This window comes from Homo sapiens, chromosome 11, assembly GCF_000001405.40.
Source record: "Homo sapiens chromosome 11, GRCh38.p14 Primary Assembly".
Classification (NCBI taxonomy): domain Eukaryota; kingdom Metazoa; phylum Chordata; class Mammalia; order Primates; family Hominidae; genus Homo; species Homo sapiens.
In genome coordinates this window covers 94,147,856-94,168,309 of record NC_000011.10, presented here as the reverse complement: position 1 = coordinate 94,168,309, position 20,454 = coordinate 94,147,856, and the positions used below count along the sequence as shown (strand labels likewise).

The following is a 20,454-nucleotide window of genomic DNA, read 5'->3' as shown; positions in this document are numbered from 1 at the left end:
TGTAACCTAGCCTACCCTGCATCATAGTTAATCAAGGCCCCAATGCCCCCAACAGGCCACGCCTCCCCCAGAAAGTGCTTCCCACCCTCCCAGACAGTGCTTTTTTTGTGCTTTTGGGCCTGTATTTTCCTTCCAGTTGTCACCCAGCTTGTTCCTCTCTCTTCTGGTTATCAGGAAGAGAGAGTTTATGAAAAGGGAAAAAAAATTGTGAAGAAATTGTCTAATCATCTTCATTTCCTTACCTCCCATTCACTCTTCACCACAGCCATCTGCCTCCCACTTCTCCACTAAAATCATTCCTGCTGGATCCCCAATATTTTCATTAAATCCAGTAAGTTGTATTTCTCCCAGACTGCACTGGCTTCTCTGCAGCAGCATTTAACAGAGTTCACTACTGTCTGAAACACTCTCCTTTTACCATTTAGCTGATTATTCCCTCTCACTGCCTTCTTCCATGTTTATTTTTTCCACTAAACAACAAGCTCCTTGATGAAGGGACCATGTCATCTGTGGCTTTCTGCCACTGCACATACATTCCAGCATATGGTAGGCCCTCAATCAACGTTAGCTGAAATCAACTGTGACTAAATGTTTTCAGCTCAAGAATTTCTATTTGATTATTTTGGTGCAGTTTTCAGTCAGTTCTACGTAAAAAATCTCCATATAATCATAATTCTTTGAATATATGATTAATGATTAGTTAAAATGCATGGTTGATCAATCCACTATCTGGATCTCCAACAGGTTTGTTTCTATTTCTGATTTTTCTCTTGGTTTTCTTGTACATCTAGTTATTTCCTAGTGAGTGCTGAATATCATATGTGAAAAACCTGAGCAAGAATTTGACAGTACATAAGAGGAGGCAGAGCAAAATGGCTGAATTGAACCCTCCAATGATTGACCCCCATTAGGAGATAGACAATATAAAAAGATATAAAGTATCCATGCAAGAAAGCACCCTCCTAAGAACTAAAAAATCAGAGGAGCAATCACTGTACCTGGTTTTAACATAACAACGAAAGTGGCATTGAAGAGAGTAGGAAGTACGGTCTTGCACTGCTTACACCACCCCTCCCCTAAACCCAGGCAGTGCAGTCTGGAGAAGAATCCGTGTGCTTGAAGGAGGGAGAGCAAAATGAGTATGCGACTTTGCACTGGAACTCAGTGCTGCCTTGTCAAAGCCTCACACAACACCAGGCAGACTTCTGCCAGGTCCCACAAAAGAAGCATTTAGACCAGCCCTGGGCCAGAGGGGAATCTTCTGCCCCAGTGGGAGAAAAGTGACTCCTGCTGGCTTCACCACCAACTGACTAAAGTGACTTAGGGCCCCAAATAAATCTGAGTGCCAATCAGGACATAGTAACTGTAGGCCTTGGACAAGCCCTGGTGCTGCACTGGTCTTAGAAGCAGTGGGCTTGGGATGTGACCCAGTACGACATTAACTGTACCAGCCATGGGAACACCTGCATCACCTCTCTCCCAACTCCAAGCAGTGCAGCTTGGGGAGAGATCTTTCAACTTGGGCAAAGGAGAGGAAAGAGTACAGAGGATACTGTCTTGCAACTTAGATATCAGGCTCAGTCACAATAAAATAAAGCACCAGATAGATGCCTGATATAATATGCAGGTATGAGAAGGTTAAAGGACACAAAGAAGACTCAACCCAAGCAAGACTACCTCAAGGAATACAATAATCCAACTTTCAAAGGTGAAGGACAAAGAAAGGATCCCAAAAACACCAGGTGAAAAGATGCAAATTACATATAAAAGAGTTCCAAGATATCTGGCAGCAGACTTTTCAGTGGAAACCTTACAGTCCAGGAGGGAGTGGGATGACATATTCAAAGCACTAAAGGAAAAAAGCTTCCAACCTAGAATATCATCACCAGCAAAGTTATCCTTCAAACATAAAGGTGAAATAAAGACTTTCCCAGACAAACAAAAGCTGAGGTATTTCATCAACACTAGAACTGTCTTACGAGACATGGTAAAAGGAGTTCTTCAGTCTGAAAGAAAAGGATGGTAAGGAGCAACAAGAAATCATCTAAAAATACAGACTCACTGGTAAAAGTAAGTACACAGACAAATACAGAATACTCTAACACTGTAATTGTGGTATGTAAACCACTCATACCTTAAAATGAAGACCCTAAGGTAAACGTATCAAAAATAATCATAATTACAAGTTGTTAGGAGATACACAATATAAAAAGATATAAAGTGACAAGAAGTCGAAAGCGAGGGGGGGATGAAGTTAAAGTCCAGAACTTTTTAGTTTTCTTTTGGCTTGTTTTTTTATTTTCATTGTAATTGGAATTAAGTTATCTTCAGTTTAAAATAATTGGTTAATAACATAACCAATAATAATAATAATAGTTATTACTATTATATTACTTGAAACAGAGTTTCACTCTTGTTGCCCAGGCTGGAGTGCAATGGTGCGATCTCAGCTCACTGCAACCTCTGCCTCTTGGTAAGTTCAAGTGATTCTTCTGCCTCAGCCTCCCGAGTAGCTGGGATTACAGGCATGCACCACCATGCCTGGCTAATTTTGTATGTGTAGAAGGGACAGGGTTTCTCCATGTTGGGCAGGCTGGTCTTGAATTCCTGACCTCATGTGATCTGCCTGCCTTGGCCTCCCAAAATGCTGGGATTACAGGCATGAGCCACTGTGCCCGGCCACATAACCAATTATTTTAAACGGAAGATAACTTAATTCCAATCACAGCCTCATGTGCAGCCTCATGGCAAACAAAGTAAAAGCCTATAATAGATACACAAAAAATAAAAAGCTGAGAATTTTTAATTGGAGCATTTAGCCCATTTACATTTAAAGTTAATATTGTTATGTGTGAATTTGATCCTGTCATTATGATGTTAGCTGGTTATTTTGCTCATTAGTAACAAACCTGCACGTTGTGCACATGTACCCTAAAACTTAAAGTATAATAATAATAAAATTAAAAAATTAAAAAAAATAAATAAAAATAAAAAGCAAGAAATTAAAACATACTACCAAAAAAATCATTTATACACAAAGGAAGACAGAGAAAAAGGAAAAAAAGAGAAACTAACAAAACAACCAGAAAACAAATAACAAAATTGCAGTAGTAAGTCCTTACCTATCAATAATCACATTGAATGTAAATGAACTAAATTCTTCAATCAAGAGAAAGAATGGCTCACTGGATAAAAAACCAAGACCCAACCAAACGCTGCTGACCAGAAACTCACTTCACCTATAAGACACATATAGGCTGAAAATGAAGGGCTGAAAAATATATTCCATGCAAACAGAAACCAAAAAAGAGCGGGAATAGCTATACATGTATCAGATAAAATAAATCTCAATACAGAAACTGTAAAAAGATAAAAAGTAAGTCATTATATAATGATAACGGGATCAATTCACTAAGAGGGTGTAACAATTGTAAATATATAAGCACCCAATGCTGGAGCACTCAGATATATAAAGAAAATATTATTAGAGCTAAAGAGGGATAAAGCCCAATATAATAATAGTCGGGAACTTCACGCCCGACTTTCAGTATTGAGCAGATCATCTAGACAAAAAATAAAGAAATATCAGGCTCAAGCTACACTGTAGGCCAAATATACCTAACAGACATTTACAGAACATTTCATGCAATAGCTGCAGAACATTCTGCTCTTTAGCAAATGGAACATTCTCACAGATAGACCACATGTTAGGCCACAAAACAAGTCTCGAAAAATTCAAAATAATTGAAATCATAAAAGTATCTTTTCTGACCACAAGGTCAGAAATCAATGACAAGAGAAACTTTGGAAACTAAACACATGGAAATTAATATGCTCCTGAATGACCACTGGGTCAATGAAGAGATTAAGAATAAAGTTTAAAAATTTCTTGAAACAAATGAAAATGAGAACACAACATACCAAAACCTACTGGATATAGCAAAAGCAGTACTAACAGGGATGTTTAAAGCAATAAATACCTACATCAAAAAAGTAGAAAGACTTCAAATAAACAGCTTAATGACAGATCTTAAAGAACTAGAAAAGCAAGAGCAAATCAAACACAAATTCAGTAGACTATTAAAGAGCAGAAATAAAATTGAAACCAAAAAAATACAAAACATCAATAAAATTTAAAAGTTGGTTTTTTGAAAAGACAAAATCAACAAACCTTTAGCCAGACTAAAAAAAAAAGAAAGACCAAATAAATAAAATTAGAGACAAAAAAGGAGACATTATCATTCATACCACAGAAATTCAAAGGATCACTAAAGACTATTATGAGCAACGATATGCCAATAAATTGCAAAACCTAAAAAAAATTGATAAATTTCTAGACACATACAACCTACCAAGATTGGACCATGAAGAAATACAAAACCTGAATAGACCAATAGCAAGTAACAAGGGAGAGGCAGTAATAATAAGTCTCCCATCAAAGAAAAGCCCAGGACCTGATGGCTTCACTGCTAAATTCTACCAAACTTTTAAAAAAGAACTAACACCAACCCTACTTAAAGTATTCAAAAAAACTGAGGAGGGAATAATTCCAAACCATCCTTAGAGGAGGGAATAATTTTATAAAGCCAGTCTTAACCATGACACCAAAATCAGACAAAGACAAGTAAAATTATAAGCCAATACCTCCGATGAACACAGATATAAAAATCCTCAATAAAATCCTAGCAAACTGATTCAATAACACATTAAAAAGATCATTCATCACAACCAAGTGGGATTTATCTTAGGGATGCAAGGATAGTTCAACATATGCAAATCAATAAATTTGATACATCACATCAACAGAATGAAGGACAAAAAGCATATGATCATTTCCATAGATGCCAAAAAAGCATTCAGTAACAGTCAACATCCCTTCATGATAAAAACCCTGAACAAACTGAGTACAGAAGGAACATACCTCAATATAATAAAGAAGACTTACAACAAACCCACAGCTAGTGTCACAAAGAATGGGGAAAAACTGAAAGCCTTTCCTCTAAGATATGGAACAAGGATGCCCACTTCTAACACTTTCATTCCCTGATTTGCTCATTATACATTCTATGCTTATATCAAAATATCACATGTAGTCCACAAATATGTACAAATATTATGTAACCATAAAACTTAAAAATTAAAATAAAAAGTAAGAAAAATAAGCCAGGTGTGGTGGCTCACGCCTGTAATCCCAACACTCTGGAAGGCCAAGATAAGTGGATCTCTTGAACTCGGGAGTTTGAGACCATTTCTACAAAAAATAACAAAAATTAGCCACATGCAGTGGTGCATGCCTGTAGTCCCAGCTACTTGGTGGGCTGTGGCAGGAGGACTGCCTTACACCCAGGAGATTGAGGCTGCAGTGAGCCATGTTTGTGCCACTACACTCAGGCCTGGGTGACAAAGTGAGACCCTGTCTCAAAAAAAAAAAAAAAAAAGAGAGGTTGGTGGAGCCAAGATGGCCGAATAGGAACAGCTCCAGTCTAGAGCTCCCAGTGTGAGCGACGCAGAAGACAGGTAATTTCTGCATTTCCAACTGAGGAACCGGATTCATCTCACTGGGGAGTGTCAGAAAGTGGGGGCAGGACAGTGGGTGCCGCGCACCCAGCGTGAGCCGAAGCAGGGCGAGGCATCACCTCACCCGGGAAGCGCAAGGGGTCAGGAAATTCCCTTTCCTAGTCAAAGAAAGGGGTGAAAGATGGCACCTGGAAAATCAGGTCACTCCCACCCTAATACTGCGCTTATCCAACGGTATTAGCAAATGGCACACCAGAAGATTATATCCAGCGCCTGGCTCGGAGGGTCCTACGCCCACGGAGCCTCGCTCATTGCTAGCACAGCAGTCGAGATCAAACTGCAAGGTGGCAGCGAGGCTGGGGGAGGGGCGTCCACCATTGCTGAGGCTTGAGTAGGTAAACAAAGTGGCCAGGAAACTCGAAATGGGTGGAGCCCACCACAGCTCAAGGAGGCCTGCCTGCCTCTGTAGACTCCACCTCTGGGGACAGGGAATAGCAAAACAAAAGGCAGCAGAAACCTCTGCAGACTTAAATGTCCCTGTCTGACAGCTTTGAAGAGAGTAGTGGTTCTCCCAGTACGCAGCTGGAGGTCTGAGAATGGACAGACTGCCTCCTCAAGTGGGTCCCTGACCCCCGAGCAGCCTAACTGGGAGGCACCCCCCAGTAGGGGCAGACTGACACCTCACACAACCAGGTACTCCTCTGAGACAAAACTTCCAGAGGAACGATCAGGCAGCAACATTTGCTGCTCACCAGTATCTGCTGTTCTGCAGCCTCCGATGCTGATACCCAGGCAAACAGGGTCTGGAGTGGACCTCTGGCAAACTCCAACACACCTGCAGCTGAGGGTGCTGACTGTTAGAAGGAAAACTAACAAAGAGAAAGGACATCCACACCAAAATTCCATCTGTACATCACCATCATCAAAGACCAAAGGTAGATAAAACCACAAAGATGGGGAAAAAACAGAGCAGAAATACTGGAAACTAAAAATCAGAGCACCTCTCCTCCTCCAAAGGAATGCAGCTCCTCACCAGCAACAGAAGAAATCTGGACGGAGAATGACTTTGACGAATTGAGAGAAGAAGGCATCAGACGATCAAACTACTCCGAGCTAAAGGAGGAAGTTCGAACCAATGGCAAAGAAGTTAAAAACCTTGAAAAAAAATTAGACAAATGGCTAACTAGAATAACCAATGCAGAGAAGTCCTTAAAGGACCTGATGGAGCTGAAAACCACGGCACGAGAACTACCTGACAAATGCACAAGCCTCAGTAGCCGATTTGATCAACTGGAAGAAAAGGTATCAGTGATGGAAGATCAAATGAATGAAATGAAGTGAGAAGAGAAGTTTAGAGAAAAAAGAGTAAAAAGAAACAAAGCCTCCAAGAAATATGGGACTATGTGAGAAGACCAAATCTGCGTCTGATTGGTGTACCTGAAAGTGACAGGGAGAATGGAACCAAGTAGGAAAACACTCTGCAGGATATTATCCAGGAGAACTTCCCCAATCTAGCAAGTCAGGCCAACATTCAGATTCAGGAAATACAGAGAACGCCACAAAGATACTCCTCGAGAAGAGCAACTCCAAGACACATAATTGTCAGATTCACCAAAGTTGAAATGAAGGAAAAAATGTTAAGGGCAGCCAGAGAGAAAGGTGGGGTTACCCACCAAGGGAAGCCCATCAGACTAACAGCTGATTTCTCGGCAGAAACTCTACAAGCCAGAAGAGAGTGGGGGCCAATATTCAACATTCTTAAAGAAAAGAATTTTCAACCCAGAATTTCATATCCAGCCAAACTAAGCTTCATAAGCGAAGGAGAAATAAAATCCTTTACAGCAAAGCAAATGCTGAGAGATTTTGTCACCACCAGGCCTGCCCTAAAAGAGCTCCTGAAGGAAGCACTAAACATGGAAAGGAACAAATGGTACCAGCCAATGCAAAAAAATGCCAAATTCTAAAGACCATCGAGGCTAGGAAGAAATTGCATCAACTAACGGCAAAATAACCAGCTAACATCATAATGACAGGATCACATTCACACATAACAATATTAATTTTAAATGTAAATGGGCTAAATGCTCCAATTAAAAGACACAGACTGGCAAATTGGATAAAGACTCAAGACCCATCAGTGTGCTGTATTCAGGAAAACCATCTCACATGCAGAGACAAACATAGGCTCAAAATAAAGGGGTGGAGGAAGATCTAGCAAGCAAATGGAAAACAAAAAAAGGCAGGGGTTGCAATCCTAGTCTCTGATAAAAGAGACTTTAAACCAACAAAGATCAAAAGAGACAAAGAAGGCCATTACATAATGTGAAAGGGATCAATTCAACAAGAAGAGCTAACTATCCTAAATATATATGCACCCAATACAGGAGCCCCCAGATTCATAAAGCCAGTCCTTAGAGACCTACAAAGAGACTTAGACTCCCACAATAATAATGGGAGACTTTAACACCTCACTGTCAACATTAGACAGAGCAACGAGACAGAAAGTTAACAAGGATATCCAGGAATTGAACTCAGCTCTGCATCAAGCAGACTTAATAGACATCTACAGAACTGTCCACCCCAAATCAACAGAATATACATTCTTCTCAGCACCACACTGCACTTATTCCAAAATTGACCACATAGTTGAAGTAAAGCACTCCTCAGCAAATATAAAAGAACAGAAATTATAACAAACTGTCTCTCAGACCACACTGCAATCAAACTAGAATTCAGGATTAAGAAACTGACTCAAAACTGCTCAACTACATGGAAACTGAACAACCTGCTCCTGAATGACTACTGGGTACATAACGAAATGAAGACAGAAATAAAGATGTTCTTTGAAACCAACGAGAACAAAGACACAACATACCAGAATCTCTGGGACACATTCAAAGCAGTGTATAGAGGGAAATTTAGAGCACTAAATGCCCACAAGAGAAAGCAGGAAAGATCTAAAATTGACACGCTAACATCACAATTAAAAGAACTAGAGAAGCAAGAGCAAACACATTCAAAAGCAAGCAGAAGGCAAGAAATAACTAACATCAGGGCAGAACTGAAGGAAATAGAGACACAAAAAAACCCTTCAAACAACCAATAAATCCAGGAGCTGGTTTTCTGAAAAGATCAACAAAATTGATAGACCGCTAGCAAGACTAATAAAGAAAAGAGAGAAGAATCAAATAGACGCAATAAAAAATGATAAAGGGGATATCACCACTGATCCCACAGAAATACAAACTACCATCTGAGAATACTATAAACACCTCGAAGAAATGGATAAATTCCTCGACACATACACCCTCCCAAGACTAAAACCAGGAAGAAGTTGAATCTCTGAATAGACCAATAACAGGCTCTGAAATTGAGGCAAAAATTAATAGCTTACCAACCAAAAAAAGTCCAGGACCAGATGGATTCACAGCCGAATTCTACCAGAGGTACAAGGAGGAGCTGTTACCATTCCTTCTGAAACTATTCCAATCAATAGAAAAAGAGGGAATCCTCCCTAACTCATTTTATGAGGCCAGCATCATCCTGATACCAAAGCCTGGCAGAGACACAACAACAAAAAAAAAGAACTTTAGACCAATATCCCTGATGAACATCGACGCAAAAATCCTCAATAAAATACTGGCAAACCGAATCCAGCAGCACATCAAAAAGCTTATCCACCATGATCAAGTGGGCTTCAACCCTGGGATGCAAGGCTGGTTCAACATACGCAAATCAATAAATGTAATCCAGCATATAAACAGAACCAATGACAAAAACCGTATGATTATCTCAACAGATGCAGAAAAGGCCTTTGACAAAATTCAACAACCCTTCATGCTAGAAACTCTCAATAAATTACGTATTGATGGCACGTATCTCAAAATAATAAGAGCTATCTATGACAAACCCACAGCTGATATCATACTGAATGGGCAAAAACTGGAAGCATTCCCTTTGAAAACTGGCACAAGACAGGGATGCCCTCTCTCACCACTCCTATTCAACATAGTGTTGGAAGTTCTGGCCAGGGCAATCAGGCAGGAGAGGGAAATAAAGGGCATTCAATCAGGAAAAGAGGAAGTCAAATTGTCCCTGTTTGCAGATGACATGATTGTATATTTAGAAAACCCCATTGTCTCAGCCCAAAATCTCCTTAAGCTTATAAGCAACTTCAGCAAAGTCTCAGGATACAAAATCAATGTGCAAAAATCACAAGCATTCTTATACACCAATAACAGACAAACAGAGAGCCAAATCATGAGTGAACTCCCATTCACAATTGCTTCAAAGAGAATAAAATACCTAGGAATCCAACTTACAAGGGATGTGAAGGACCTCTTCAAGGAGAACTACAAACCACTGCTCAATGAAATTAAAGAGGACACAAACAAATGGAAGAACGTTCCATGCTCCTGGATAAGAAGAATCAATATCATGAAAATGGCCATACTGCCCAAGGTAATTTATAGATTCAATGCCATCCCCATCAAGCTACCAATGACTTTCTTCACAGAATTGGAAAAAACTACTTTAAAGTTCATATGGAACCAAAAAAGAGCCTGCATCGCCAAGTCAATCCTAAGCCAAAAGAACTAAGCTGGAGGCATCATGCTACCTGACTTCAAACTATACTACAAGGCTACTAGCAGTAACCAAAACAGCATGGTACTGCTACCAAAACAGAGATATAGATCAATGGAACAGAACAGAGCCCTCAGAAATAATGCCACATATCTACAACCATCTGATATTTGACAAACCTGACAAAAACAAGAAATGGGGAAAGGATTCCCTATTTAATAAATGGTACTGGGAAAACTGGCTAGCTATACATAGAAAGCTGAAGCTGGATCCCCCTTCCTTACACCTTATACAAAAATTAATTCAAGATGGATTAAAGACTTAAATCTTAGACCTAAAACCATAAAAACCCTAGAAGAAAACCTAGGCAATACCATTCAGGACATAGGCATGGGCAAGGACTTCATGTCTAAAACACCAAAAGCAATGGCAACAAAAGCCAAAATTGACAAATGGGATCTAAGTAAACTAAAGAGCTTCTTTCTGCACAGCAAAAGAAACTACCATCAGAGTGAACAGGCAACCTACAGAATGGGAGAAAATTTTCACAACCTACTCATCTGACAAAGGGCTAATATCCAGAATCTAAAATGAACTCAAACAAATTTACAAGAAAAAAACAAACAACCCCATCAAAAAGTGGGCGAAGGACATGAACAGACACTTCTCAAAAGAAGACATTTATGCAGCCAACAGACACATGAAAAAATGCTCATCATCAATGGCCATCAGAGAAATGCAAATCAAAACCACAATGAGATACCATCTCACACCAGTTAGAATGGCGATCATTAAAAAGTCAGGAAACAACAGGTGCGGGAGAGGAGGTGGAGGAATAGGAACACTTTTACACTGTTGGTGGGACTGTAAACTAGTTCAACCATTGTGGAAGTCAGTGTGGCGATTCCTCAGGGATCTAGAACTAGAAATACCATTTGACCCAGCCATCCCAGCCATCCCATTACTAGGTATATACCCAAAGGATTATAAATCATGCTGCTATAAAGACACATGTACATGTATGTTTATTGTGGCACTATTCACAATAGCAAAGACTTGGAACCAACCCAAATGTCCAACAATGATAGACTGGATTAAGAAAATGTGGCACATATACACCATGGAATACTATGCAGCCATAAAAAAGGATGAGTTCATGTCCTTTGTAGGGACATGGATGAAGCTGGAAACCATCATTCTCAGCAAAGTATCGCAAGGACAAAAAAACCAAACACCGCATGTTCTTGCTCATAGTTGGGAATTGAACAACGACAACACATGGACACAGGAAGGGGAACATCACACACTGGGGCTTGTTTTTGGGTGGGGGGAGTGGGGAGGGATAGCATTAGGAGGTATACCTAATGTTAAATGACGAGTTAATGGGTGCAGCACACCAACATGGCACAAGTATACATATGTAACAAACCTGCATGTTGTGCACATGTACCCTAAAACTTAAAGTATAATTAAAAAAAAGGAAAAAAAAAAACGAGAAAAATAATTTTTTTTAAAAAAAGATGAATGATAATCACACCCAGAAAATCCTCCAGAAAGGATTTATTTTTACTTCTGGCAGGCAAGTAGACCAGACACTCGTAATCCCCGATCTCTGTCATTCAACTGCTATTGCAATGATTTAAATCAGGACTCTTGTCCCTATGGGAGCTAGATTAATTCTGGATCGCCCCTTATTCTCAAGGAACAGCCTTTCAGAGTCCCAACCAAATGCCAAGGAGTGTTAATAAGGGTCCTTCCAACGTGGCAGGTCCTGACTTCAATTTCTGTCCCCAGCCTTGTGAATCTGGCAAGAGCTCTGCTGAGAAACTTAGATAAACCTCCATTCAAACAAGCAGTCTTCCACTGCCAGAAAGAGGGTTTCTTAATCTCTCATTAATACCAGGTAACTTAAGGTTTGGCTACCTATACTGTTTCCAGATTTCCCCTTCCTTGACTAGAAGAGCAATGGGCTAGAAGTCTGAAGATCTGAGCTCTGATGTGTTGGTCAGTAACTGGTCCTATAACCTTTAGGCTAGATCCCTCAAAGTTCCCTTACCCTTAAATGTAAAATACATCTGGATAAAAAATCTTTCAGTTTATTCTTGCTCTAAAATAATTACTAACACCCCTGCCAACTCTTAGACAATTCTCCTGCGGATCCATCAAAGGCAGCCCAGTGACTCATTAAAACTCTCTATTTTCATGAGAACACTATAACAAACGAACTTAAACTACAACAGTAAAAATTTGGATTTACAAAGCAAGCTGTTAAACTTTAGAACTGTGGTCATTCACACTGCAAGTCCTATTATTTGTTGCCTTGGCTACTAAACCATGCAAAGCTGACGAGAACCCACCTATGGCTGAAAATAAAGAGAAAAGCCCAACCTAAAAGGAGAAAAGAGTCACTATAGGGCACCACTATGCAAAATGGCAAGCAGTACAGTTGACGCTTGAACAACATGAATTTGAACTACATGGGCCCACTTTTATGGGGCTTTTCTTCTGCCTCTACCGCTCCTGATACAGCATGAACAACCTCTCCTCTTCCTCCTCCTCCTGAGCTACTCAACATAAAGACAACGAGGATGAAGACCTTTATGATGTTCCACTTCCACTTAATAAATATTAGGTTGGAGCAAAAGTAATTGCGCGTTTTGCCATTACTTTTATATATTTATTTTATTATTATTATTTTTTGGAGTCTCACTCTGTTGCCCATGCTGGAGTGCAGTGGTGTGATCTCTGCTCTCTTCAACCTCTACCTCCCGCATTCAAGTGATTCTCCTGCCTCAGCCTCCCGAGTAACTGAGACTACAGGCATGCACCAGCATGCCTGGCTTTTTTTTTTTTTTTTTGAGATGGAGTTCCACTCTTGTTCCCCAGGCTGGAGTGCAATGGCACGATGTCAGCTCACTGCAACTTCCACCTCCTGGGCTCAAGCGATTCTCCTGCCTTAGCCTCCCGAGTAGCTGGGATTACAGGCACCCGTACCACACCCAGCTAATTTTTGTATTTTTAGTGGAGATGGGGTTTCACCATGTTGGCCAGGCTGGTCTCGAACTCCTGACCTCAAGTGATCCGCTTGCCTCGGCCTCCCAAAGTGCTGGGATTACAGGCATGAGCCACCGCACCCAGCCACGCCTGGTTAATTTTTGTATTTTTAGTAGAGACGGGGTTTTACCATGTTGGCCAGGCTGGTCTCAAACTCCTGACTTCAGGTGATCCGCCCACCTCACCCACCTTGCAATTACTTTTAATGGCAAAACCCACAATTACGTTTGCACAAACTGAATAGTAAATATATTTTCTTTTCCTTATAATATTCTTAATAACATTTTCTGTTCTCTAGCTTATTGTAAGAATACAGTATATAATACATATAGCATATAAAATATGTGTTAATTGACTGTTTATGTTATTGGTAAGGCTTCCAGTCAACAGTAGGCTATCAGTAGTTAAGTTTTGGGGAAGTCAAATGTTACACACAAATTTTTGACTGTGCAGGGGACCAGTGCCCCGACCCCCACATTGTTCAAGGGTCAACTATAAACAAACATGCCTGAGTCATAGCTCCCTTAAATCATTCCTTTTACGAAGAAGGATGCTGATGGTGTGTCTGGAAGCAGGTCAAAGCAGAAGAGAGTCAAACTTTGGCTTTTGGGTTTTCGAAAGCTAAAATTCTATATTTTCTTCAGCAGAAAAGAATACCAGAAGATACACATTCTAATTGTTTTCACAATGGACAAAAGAAACAGTGGTTGAAATTAATGACAGGCTGAAACAAAGTCCTACTTTCAGAAGCACAGAGAAGACCTAATGCAGTCACTTCATAACTCAGAGAACATTCTTCTGCACAAACTTATCAACTGCTGCCTAAGTTCCTCACTGCATCCCCTGCCACCTGCATGCACAAACCACCACTTCCCTGACTACAGAATGTACCTCTTCTCTATGGGAAGTGGAGTGGAACCCAGACATTGGTGTCTCTTGTGTAGTATCTCCCCTTCCCTGCAGTATCTGGATCTATCAAAAAGCAAAGGGATCCATTCCAAAAACAGTGCTACAGCCAACACCCCCAGAGGGCCTCATCACTAGGCTTTTTGATGTTCCAGTAACGTATCAGCTAGAAGCAACTGAACTCTAGGTCAGTCCTTACTTTCTGCAAGAGACCCTGTGTGTGGTAGAAAAGGTGCTAGCTGAGAAGCTATGCATGAATCCTAGCTCTGCCACTGTCTAGCTATGCTCATTCAGACACTCAAAATGTACTAAGAACCTACTACGGGCCAGACATCCTGCTGGGCATTATGATATAAAGGTGTCAAGACACAAAAGGTGCCTGCTGTTATAGAGCTAAAACTCAAAGAACACTTCCCATTGCCCCATTGTGCTAAATGATGGTGCCTACACCAAGTCATCTCTGAGGTTCTTTTTGACTATAAGGTGCTACAGTTTTACAATCTGAGATACAGCACTGGTTGGCTACAATATCTGTGTGGTCTTTGGCATAGCCTCCCTGGGCTTTAGTTTCCTTATCTATAAAGCAAACAGGTTCTATTTGGAAATGTCTCCCTTTACCTTATGCAGCCACAGTGGGAGGTTTCCAGACTCGCTCTGCAGTGAGTTCTTCTGCTGAACAGCCGCCCAGCAATATGAATCCACAAAGGCAGCCTGACGCCAGGAGAAAGAACTTGGAGAGAAACAGCTTATCTGTGTACCTAAGAAGCAAAACAGATAGTTTCCAATGAAAACACAGCTTACCTGGACTCTTGTCCCCATCTCACATGTTTTTAGTTTTGTCTAAGTTAGGGAGCACCAGGACAGGAGGTGGAGACATTAGGACAGAACTAAAAACAAACACCCAAGTTCATATTAAAACAAAAGATCACAGAGTGGTTTTGGCCAACACTGGTCATGATAGCAGCTTGGCCTCAGTTGGGGAAAAATTCTTAAAAGAAGTAGAACTACCATACAAAGAAAAAGGAAGCAGGAAAAGAACCAGAGCCCAGAATTCAAGAGGCAAGCGTGGAGAGACCTGGTTTAGTTTGGAGTAAGGATTGAGAAAAAGGAAAGGTTATGTGGGAGGGTCAGTGAGGCACCTGAATGCGGAAAATTGGACTAAAAAAACAAGTTCTTTTAGAACAAAGAAGCAAAGAACTATTAGCCTGAGGAAGAGAAAGCTGAAGGGAACATTGGTAATAGAACACTGGATGGGAAATCAGTGGTTTCCTACCTCCTGTAACACTAAAGAAGAAACAGGCTGAAACTGCAGCCCAACTGGTTTACATTTGGAAGGGAAACGCTCACGACTGCAAACCTCCCAACAGCAGATGGGCGGTAGATGGGGAATGGGAAGACCTGGGTCCTGGTGGGGCTCTACCGTTCACTCGCTCTTCTGGGAAGGGACTCTGGGACTTGGTTTTCTCCTCTGCAAACTGAAGATTACATCTCTCTGCAGATGCTACCGTCACATCTGTAAAACCTACCATCTGGAAGACTCTTTGTGCTCCTGACACACACAGGCCATGGAGGGAAACTGACCAATAGGATCGTAAGGCTCAGGCAGGGCTGTGTCCTCCCCTTCCCACCAGTAGCACAGGGGCTGGCGCTAGGCCTTGCCTGGCCCAGCCCTGATCCCCTGTCCCCACCTGGCACATTCAAAGGTGTGTGTGTCACAGGCATAGGGGTCAGAGCTAAGGCTCCATGACAGGCACACTCTCTTCCACATCCATCACAGCCTGGGAGTGTGCTCAGTGACTGGGCTCTGACATGAGTCATATTTAAATTTGACTCTGCCACTCTCAGCAGGGTGAGTCACAGCTGATAAGTCATTAATTTCCCAAAGCCTGGGATCTCTAAAATAGGAATGACATTAATAGTGTATCCACATTACAGATTTGTTGTGGTGAATACAAAAATTAAAAAAACACACAAAAAACAAAAAACAAAACTTGCTGCAGCACTTGCGAGGGTGTCTGGTTCCCAGAAGTTGCTGAATTAGTGTTACATTTTTCTAGATGAAGCAACAAGTAGATTCTCATATTGCCTTAAAGACTGGGATGTGCCTACCATTCTCCCTTCCCACCCTATGGAGCAATGATAGGGACAGTGGGAAGTTACGGAGCTGGATTTCCCTAATCCCTGGCACATAAAAGGCCTCGACACTCATCTTTGCCTGGGGAGGGAGTGGCCTTTATGCTTATGGTACAAGAGAGAAGTGATGGAGATGTTTTCAGGAGAGTATATTCTTGTGGTAGGAGTGGTATGCGGCAAAGCCCTGAGCATTTCTTCCCCATCAGGGGCCTGTGCACCCACAGCCATCAAGAAAGGACTTGTCAGCAAGAGGCTTTACAGGAAATCATCATGAAAAGTCACAAACATCAGCAAGTGTTCTATAATGGGGTAGTTCTTGCCATTCAAGAATGGCTTAAATATGAGTGGGGGACAGGTAAGATATTTCAAGGTCCCTTCTGACTGTCTTATCCCATTAAACTTAAGTTCTTAGATTTTATAAAAAGATGAGTAGTCGGGACAGCACAGGACTTGGCACTAAGCTCACACGGTTCCCGCATCAGTGTGAAATGCTTCCTAAGCCAACCACCTACCAAGGCTTATGAGGGCAACAGTAAATACCTAAGGGGACAGATAGTCCTCAGGTTACAATCAGATGGTTTCTGGCAAGGATGCTGATAAGCTGCTTGCTTGGGAATATCTGTCCAAGTACTCACTCATGAAAATGAATAATGCTGTTATGATTTCATGAAAGCCTGCCTGGCCCAGAATGTTCCTTAGGCAAAGTCCTCATTGTGCAAGTATCCAACATTTATTAACATTCTTTCTATAGGAAAGAGTGCTTCAAGCTCTATCTTGGGATCTCGAGGACCTCCCCCTCAAGGCAGCAGTAGAAACTCCTGGAGCAGAAATAACTACACTTTTTATACTAAAGCTTTTGCAAAAGAGGAAGAAGGAAAATAGAGAGAGGAGGGCAGAAACATGTGAAGCTCTTAAGAAATGGTCTTCATCTGGAATGGAAAGTCAGAAGAAAAGGCAGTGGCCAACTCATATTCACTAGACACCAACCAGCCCTTTAAATCATTACCTCATTTAAGCCTCACAACCAAATGGAGAGACACATCATTATTTTCCTTTTCCCCTGGAGTAAACCAAAGCTCCAAGTAGTTCAGTAATCCCCTACCCAAGCTAGTGAATGGTAGCAGCATTCATTTAAATCTGTATCCAACTCCCAGTTTCTCTCAGCACTCCTCTCTAAGCCAGTCACCCCTGCAAGGCCACCCTGGAGGAGCTCCTGGGGACCAGGGCTTTGTTGGAATGGGTGTGGTCTAAGTAGGTGGTTCCTCCAAGTGGCCAGGAAGGGGACAGCTTCCTGGGAAGGGTCAAGGGCATTTCTAGAAAAAGAAACACATCAATCCCCAGGTATTGGGTATTCCCAGGCCAGAAATGGGAAACCAAGTCAAGGATGTCAAGAGCCAGGCAGGGAGGGGCAGGCAACAAATAGGGAGTGAAGAGCAGGAGTGAAGAGGGGGGCAAAGCAGGAGGGTACAGGGGACCGGCACAGCTGGGCTCTGAGCCCACACCTTCACCCAGGCTGCCTGAAGGCACCTAAAGGCAAGGGGTCAGGGTGATCAGCTGCTGCCAGGGGGCCGGGGGCCAGGAAGCTTGGGACAGGGACCATCCGGATTCATTTTTTCAAATGTATTTCCACATCCTCTATCTCATTTACTCTTCAAGATAATATTGGGAGGTAAACACGTTAGATCTTCGTGAGTTTTCCAAGTAGTCTGAGTCAGGAAGTCTTCCAGTCTCTCCCTTCTCCACCTGTTTAAACTGTTGCCAAGTTATTCATCCTAGAGCTCAGTTCTATCTTGCCACTCCTGGGGCTCAACATTTTTCAGTGGTTCCCTACTGCCTGGGTTACAAATCCAAATCAATGCTCCAATCCAACTCAATGAAGGCTGTGGCTTGTATAGGCCTGATATGCACTCAGATCTATGCCTTACATGATCCCCTCTGCCCGGAGGCCCTCTTGCCAGAACCTGCTTGTTAAGTCAATGCCCCATACACACCATCTTCCTCAATGGCTCATCTTTCAAAGCTCTGCTTAGGCATCACCCTCTTCACAAAGCTTCCTCCCCCACTGACTTCCCACAGTGCTTTTCTGCACATCTTTAAATCAGAGATGTGCAGAAAACCACTTTGAACCATGTCACATAGACATATATGTCTTATCTCCTCTAGTACTACATCAAGGTTTTACAGGCAAGACATATTCTGTCTCTGAACTTCATGCACGATTGTGTACCAAGTAACATCTGTCTGGTGCTTTGAAAGTTTCAAAGTACTATCATAAATACTATCTCAATTAATGTTAAAGTATCCCCCAAAGATATCACTGTCCAACTTGATAGGTGAGAAAACAGAGTCCCATGAGATCCCCAGCCACAGCCCCATGCTCTGCTCCACTGTGTGTCAGCTTAACAAGTGTGTGCTATAATTTCTAGGGAACAGATTTTGCAAGACATGCACTGCCTTTTATTACTGTACAGGAAAGAAAGAAAGGAGTTTCAGGTTTATGCCAAGAACAACAAAGAATACTACTTCCACTTGGCTGAGAGTGCAGAGGCAGCTGTGGGCTTTACATTTATGTACGTCTGGCCAAATATAATAACAGATCACCAGGAGAAAACGTGTGCTCACAAGGCCCAGAGGAAGTAGCCACAACATCCATTAAATAATGTCTGTGGCAATCCATGCCACAGACATCTCCCCATCCACCCTCCTCCAGGTGCCTTGACCTGGAGCATAGGGTGCTGGTCACACCTTCTGCCTGAGCAGCAGCACAGGTGGCCCTTGGTGTAGCCTTGACCTGTACCTATAAATGATTAGAAAGTAACATAGCCTAAAGAAAAATAGGACTGGGGCTGGGGTGAGCAAGCCAGAGGTTTCTCAAAGACACCACAGTGGGATGGCTCTCCATTCTTGTTCCACTTCAGCAGGAGGGCTTTGGCTTACTTTTGCTATGATCTACGCCCCCCATTTTTTTGTTCCTCTCCTTTAACATGCTTTCTTTCATTCTCATGCATTAATAACACAGGGTTAGATCCTGCTCCTAGGCAGGAGAAGGGAACTAACCCTTGCTGTGTACTTTCACCCCTATTTTAAAGGTGAGGAAAGTGAGGTGTGAGGCACAGTGATCTTGTGGCTAGTGGGTTGTGAAGCTGGGATATCAACTCAGCTCTCTCTACCTTTTAAACACAAGAAAGAGGAGGTGAAAGGCATAAATTATTAAAGAAAATCAGGTCAGCAATGGAGGGATGAGAAGGAAGGAGCCAGGAGAGAAAATCCTGGGGTTGTTCTGGAGGCTCAAAGGGAAAACAGAGAATATGATGATGATTATATCAAGTACAATCATTAGCATATACACATGATTTTAAAAGTCTGCGAAATGATTTTAAGTTACACAACAAAAAATTGGTTTAATTCACCTTAATGTAAATTATAGACACACATACCCCATATATATGGGATCCAAGTAGATTATATTACAACCCATAAAGCACCAGACTTGAAAGGTCTGGCTATATTTTAAGGTTGCCAAAAGATCTGAAAACTATTATAAATTCTCAGTGAGAACAATCATACAAAGAGGACCCTGAATGTGTGGTATAGAGAAGAGATGGACAGTGGTCAGCTCTGAAAACAAACCCAGAACACCAACAAGCACTCAGAAGGATGAAACAGGTCTGAATTTGTTTAAAGTACCTCTGACCCCAACATACTAAGACCAAATGACGTTTGCCCCGAAGGGTATTCTTGCCCAATACTTATAGTTCTCAACTATCATAAAATACAATAATGTTACAAGAATCTCAGAATAACTTCTCTTACTAAAAACAAGCCAAATTCCTCTCCTTTCACCTTTCCAGCAGACTTCAATCCAAACCCATCTTTAGCTTCAAACACATGAAATTAAATATATTCTGGATGTCCCAAATTGTCCATTACTGCCTTCACTTTTCTTCTGTGGGAACTGACTCTGAGGCACATGCATGTTTTAAACCAGTGAGAAAATATAAGTACCCTCCGCAGCCCAAACTAAAAAATGGAATTGAAATACTTCTTTTTTTTTTCCTTTAAACCACATTGGTTCACCAGGTCTTTCTTTCCCACAGCTAAGCCTGGCTTTTAAAGAGAACACATCAGGGCTAACACCTGCCCCTTAACTAAAGCTGAGCATCATCAAATGTTTCCTTTTAAATGAATTACAAGAAGCCCCAGATGCTTCCCTCCCCAACCCTGTTGAATAGATCAACAAATAACTCTGGGGCATTTTAG

General features: G+C 41.6%; 1 protein-coding gene across 3 annotated transcripts in view, besides 1 other annotated feature; it reads right to left on the bottom strand.

Moving 5' to 3' along the window:
• PANX1 (pannexin 1) overlaps window positions 1-20,454 on the bottom strand; it is a 53,128-nt gene that overhangs the window by 13,659 nt on the left and 19,015 nt on the right. The window contains exon 2 of one of the 3 annotated variants that reach the window (NM_015368.4): window positions 14,680-14,819. In NM_015368.4, coding sequence (NP_056183.2) covers window positions 14,680-14,819 — 140 coding nt within the window. Of the gene's footprint in view, window positions 1-14,679; window positions 14,820-20,454 lie in introns of those variants that run through there. The other 2 variants (XM_047426702.1, XM_011542734.3) reach the window with 2 other exon arrangements.
• Window positions 15,191-16,390: an enhancer, noted in NCBI's record as "MED14-independent group 3 enhancer chr11:93885086-93886285 (GRCh37/hg19 assembly coordinates)". NCBI's record gives its function as "activates an origin of replication core promoter dependent on BRD2, BRD4, P300/CBP and CDK7 cofactors, and independent of MED14, by STARR-seq in HCT116 cells {active_cell/tissue: HCT116}" and the evidence as "EXISTENCE:reporter gene assay evidence [ECO:0000049][PMID:35650434]".